The sequence below is a fragment of the Homo sapiens genome, chromosome 14 (genome assembly GCF_000001405.40).
Source record: "Homo sapiens chromosome 14, GRCh38.p14 Primary Assembly".
Classification (NCBI taxonomy): domain Eukaryota; kingdom Metazoa; phylum Chordata; class Mammalia; order Primates; family Hominidae; genus Homo; species Homo sapiens.
The window spans coordinates 102,312,597-102,317,505 of record NC_000014.9 but is presented as its reverse complement, the minus strand read 5'-3'; the positions used below and the strand labels follow the sequence as shown (position 1 = coordinate 102,317,505).

Sequence of the window (4,909 nt, the reverse complement as noted above, 5' to 3'; positions counted from 1 at the left end):
TGGGCGGTTCCTCCAGGCCAGACGCAGCCTCAGGAAACGTGGGGGGTGGGGGCGTGGGATGTGCATCGGTTGGATGTCCAGAGTGTCCTTTAAAACGACAAAAGTAAAAGGCCTAACCAATGGCATTCTAAAACAGACCCTTCAGGTGGCGGCGCGGGGACTCGGGGTGAGGAGCCACCGCCCCAGCGCGCTCTGAGTTCCTCCCGCTCTCCCCAGCAGGTAGCCTTGGATAACCTCTGGGCCAGTCCAAAAGATTCCGCAGTTCTCTCCTGCCTGCACGCCGGTTACAGTATCAGAAAGGAACATTGCGGGGACCAAAAAAAAAAAAAAAAAGTTAGCCTGGCCCGTACGGGGATCGAACCCGCGACCTTGGCGTTATTAGCACCACGCTCTAACCAACTGAGCTAACCGGCCGCCTGACGTTGGGCCCCCACGGGAGCGCCTAAGAGGGCTCCAAGCCCGCGCCCGCCCCCTAGCGACTCCCTGCCGGGCCGGCGCCGCTGGCTGCATTCCGCTTCGCCACAGCCGCGACTTCCGACCTCTTCACAGTCATCCCCATTGGCCCGATGCAGAAACTAAGACTTAGGGGACTTCAAGGAGAAGGGAGGCGACTCCCTACAGCGAAGGCGGCTTTTTTTCACAGGAAAAATGCAAATTGCACATGGGAGGCTTAGCTCCGCAGTGAGAAGGTTTTCAAACATGCCAACTCAGTGTTGTTTTTATCTCCGAGAATCCTGCAGCGTGGAAACTTCGTGTAACAGAGGCCTTTAGCATGGTTAAATCAAGCTTGGAAAATACAGAAAACCGGACAAAAGAACCACCGAATTCCCTATCGCCCAATAAACAAGGGCCGCTGGGGTCTTGGCTTCCTTCCTGCTGGTTTTTTTTCCTACAGTACACGTGTATTTATACACACACACACACACACACACACACACGGAATCCAAAGCCTTGTATGAAGCAGTCTTTTTTTTGAGACGGAATCTCCCTCTGTCGCCCAGGCTGGAGTGCAGTGGCGAGATTTCGGCTCAATGAAGCAGTCTATTTTTTATCTTTCTTTTTGCATTTAATATTCTAGAATAAGCATATCCCTAAACAATTGCAAATGTCACTTTAAATGATTTCTCAGTGTTTCATTGAGTGGACAAACCACCATGGCTTTCTCCTTTTTTTTTTTTTTTTTTTTTTAGTGTCTGTAAAAATGTTTTCATTTTGCTCTCTCTCTTGTTAACTGAGCACATAAATAAATCACATGGTACAGGCAGAAGGGTTGAAACAGCCACTGAGTAGGCAACGATGGTACCCACCCCTAAAAGCGTAGGATCTGTATGCAAAAAAAGAGAGAGAGAAAGAAAAGGCTGGGAAGACAAACCACCACCGTGTCCACCACCCAGCCTGCATGTCCCAGAGGCCTACTGTTCTCCTACAGGGCCTGACTATGGTGTGCTGCGTGGCCCTCCCACTCCAGGAGCACCAGCTTTTTTTTTTTTGAGACAGAGTCTCGCTCTGTCACCCAGGCTGGAGTCCAGTGGTGCAATCTCAGCTCACTGCAACCTCTGCTTCCTGGGTTCAAGCGATTCTCCTGCCTCAGCCTCCCAAGTAGCTGGGACTACAGGCACGCGCCTTGTCCGGTTACTTTGTGTGTGTGTGTGTGTGTGTGTGTGTGTGTGTGTGTGTGTGTGTGTATTTTTAGTAGAGATGGGGTTTCACCATGTTGGCCAGGCTGGTCTCGAGCTCCTGACCTCAAGTGATCCGCCTGCCTCGGCCTCCCAGAGTGCTAGGATTACAGGCGTGAGCCACCGCATCGGGCCAGCTTTTTAACATTATACATTCTGCTCTGATTACTCCACTAAACTGCTTGGACTGAGGTATCGTCAGGGTTCTATGTCACAAGCAGCAGAAACCGAGTCTAGCTGATTCGAAAAGATTTTATGTAAAGGATGTTAGGTAGGTCACCCTCCACGAGTAAGGCTAGAGGACCAGGTTTAGAAAAACGGACACTCAGTGAAGACATACTCATTCAGCCCGGCAGTGCCCTGGCCCCCAATCAGCTGTGAGTCAAAGAAACCTAATCCCCATCCTGATGGAGCTCTCCGCATAACAAGGAAGGCGGATATTATAGGGAACGGAGAAGATTAGGTGGTGTGCTGGGAGGCTGGGCAAGCGTCCTGAAGTCTGGAGCACTTTACTGTGTCCAAAGGACAAGGATAGATGAGCAGGCCAAAGGGGTAAAGCCCTCTCACAGAGCACTGGTGGGGGTGCAGGCATCCTGTCCATTTTGCTTACAGCTGAATGAATGCCCAGAACCTAGCACACTCTCTGGCATAGCAATAGGTAAGAGTCACATGGGTTTAAAACAGTCAGATCAAGTCATTTCTCTGCTCACACTCTCTCCTTTTGTTGCAGCCCTAACAGGCCTGCCAAATTTAGCAAATATAGATCAAGATGCCGGGTTAAAATTGAATTGCAAAAGGACAATGAAACTTTTTTTAGTGTAAGTATGTCCCACGCCATATTTGGGACATACTTATACTAAAAGAATACATGTGCTGTATCTGACAACCCTACGCCCAGGGTAACATCCCGTTGAAAGACACCACCGGACCTGCGCCTTTCCCCTCTGCCCTCCTGCACCCCTGCCCGGCTCCCTCCGCGGCAGCCCCTCCGCCTCCTCCCTGGCCCTTGCTCCTGTGCTGGGGCTTTTGCGCTTCTGTTCCTCTTCCTGGACCACTTTTCCTGCAGACAATGTCAAAGCTCCTCCTCCTCGTCGTGGTCGCTGCTTAAATGTCACTTACTCAGCGAGGTTTACCCGATGCCCCCATTTGCAATCGCAACCCGCACCCAGGATCCCTGCGGTTCCCGGCCCGACCCCCCTCCATCGCTTATTCCCGCTGCTAATCGTCGGCCTCCCACCGCTAGAGCGAACTCCAGGAGCAGTGGGCTCTATTTTACCAGCACCTAAACAGTGCTTGGCACACAGCGGGTGGTCAGTCCAGGTCTCCTGAAGGAAGCCGAGTTGATCGACCCTTGTGGGTGCAACCGTGGCATTCCCGGGACTTCAAGCCACGCGTCCCGAGTGGGCAGAGTGGACGGGGCGCGCCGGGGCCGGGGCGCCGTGACTGACGTCAGCCGCTAGAGGGCACCTGGGACCTGCGCCATCAGCTCCGAACCCAGGCTTAGGGCGACCCACGTGCAGCTGCAGGGCGGGCGCGGGCGAGCAGTTTTCTTTCCTCCTCTGGACCTCTTCCTCCACTTCTCACCCCGTCTTAGAGCTCTTAGACAAACAAACGCTAATTTTCATTCTCTGAGTGACGAAAACACGAATCTACATACTTTCAGAATTAAGTGGTAGAGAATACCATTCGGGCTTGTTTTCTTGCTTTTGTTTTTGTTTTTGAGACGGAGTCTCGCTCTTGTCGCCCAGACTGGAGCGCAGTGGCGCGATTTCGGCTCACTGCAACCTCCGCCTTGTATTTGTTTTTTGTTTTTTTAATGTGGGGCGGGGGGCCCATGTGCATTTTAAATAATCCATTTTCTTTAAACTCAACTTACGAAATGTTTCATTCTGTTTATAAGTTGGAACCTTTGGTCTGACAGTAACGACCCGCTGTGTTAGTTTCCCAGGTCGGCCACAGCAGAGTATTATAAGGTAGGTGGCCACACAACAGAATATATGGCCTCACAGTTCTAGTAGGCAGACGTCCAAAGTCAGGGTGTCGGGAAGGTCGCTTCCTTCGGAGGCTCCCACGGAGACCGCCCCAGGCTGTCTCCTGGCTTCTGGTGGATTTCGGGCCAACTTTGGCCTTCCTTCGCTTGTAGAAGCTTCACTCTGATCTCTGCCTGCATCTTCACATACTGTTCTCCCTGTGTGTCCCTATGTCCAAATCGCCCCTTTTGTGTAGACGCCAGTCATAATGGACTAAAGTCACTCTGAAGACCTTTTTTTTTTTTTTTTTTTTTTTTTTTAAGACGGAGTTTCCCTCTTGTTGCCCAGGCTGGAGCGCAATGGCGCGATCTTGGCTCGGCTCACTGCAACCTCCGCCTCCCGGGTTCAAGTGATTCTCCTGCCTCAGCCTCCTGAGTAGCTGGGATTACAGGCATTCACCACCACGCCCGGCTAATTTTGTCTTTTTAGTAGAGATGGGGTTTCACCATGTTGGCCAGCCTGGTCTTGAAGTCGTGACCTCAAGTGATCCACCTGCCTTGGCCTGGAAGCACGTACATTATTGCGAAGTTTTGACAAAGTCTCAAAAGTCTTTTTTATTTTGTTTTTGAGATGGAGTTTCGCTCTTGCCACCCAGGCAGGAGTGCAATGGCGTGATCTTGGCTCACTGCAACCTCTGCCTCCTAGGTTCAAGCAATTCTCCTGCCTCAGCCTCCCAAGTAACTGGGATTACAAGCGCCCACCACCAAGCCCAGCTAATTTTTGTATTTTTAGTAGAGACGGGGTTTCACCACGTTGGCAAGACTGATCTTGAACTCCTGACCTCAGGTGATTTGCTCGCCTCAGCCTCCCAAAGTGCCGGGATTTTGGGCGGAGCCACCGCGCCAGGCCCAAAGTCTTTGTTAGATGTAGGAAAGAGCAGTAGAAGGCCAGGCGCAGTGGCTTACACCTATCATCTCAGCACGTTGAGAGGCCTTGGCGAGCAGATCGCTTTAACCTAGGAGTTTGAGACCAGCCTGGACAACTTGGAGAAACTCCATCTCTCCCAAAAATAAATAAACTAATAATAATAATAATAGGCTGGGCGTGGTGACTCACGCCTGTAATCTCAGCACTTTAGGAGGCAGAGGCGGGCAGATCACCTTTGGTCAGGAGTTCAAGACCAGCCTGGCCAATGTGGTGAAACCCTGTCTCTACAAAAATACAAAAATTAGCTGGGCGTGATGGCGGGTGCCTGTAATCCCA

At 51.5% G+C, this 4,909-nt stretch overlaps 1 non-coding gene across 1 annotated transcript, besides 3 other annotated features; it reads right to left on the bottom strand.

The window, feature by feature from the left end:
- Positions 1 to 340: 340 nt before the first annotated feature.
- Positions 341 to 414, bottom strand: TRI-AAT5-4 (tRNA-Ile (anticodon AAT) 5-4). The gene has a single exon. It is a non-coding gene; the product is annotated as a tRNA-Ile (tRNA).
- Positions 625 to 724: an enhancer, noted in NCBI's record as "active region_9069". NCBI's record gives its function as "activates an Ori minimal core promoter by ATAC-STARR-seq in GM12878 lymphoblastoid cells {active_cell/tissue: GM12878}" and the evidence as "EXISTENCE:reporter gene assay evidence [ECO:0000049][PMID:35858748]".
- Positions 2,823 to 3,323: an enhancer, noted in NCBI's record as "H3K4me1 hESC enhancer chr14:102780520-102781020 (GRCh37/hg19 assembly coordinates)". NCBI's record gives its function as "activates a minimal SCP1, AML or CMV promoter by ChIP-STARR-seq in naive H9 embryonic stem cells {active_cell/tissue: H9 hESC(naive)}" and the evidence as "EXISTENCE:reporter gene assay evidence [ECO:0000049][PMID:30033119]".
- Positions 2,850 to 2,929: an enhancer, noted in NCBI's record as "active region_9068". NCBI's record gives its function as "activates an Ori minimal core promoter by ATAC-STARR-seq in GM12878 lymphoblastoid cells {active_cell/tissue: GM12878}" and the evidence as "EXISTENCE:reporter gene assay evidence [ECO:0000049][PMID:35858748]".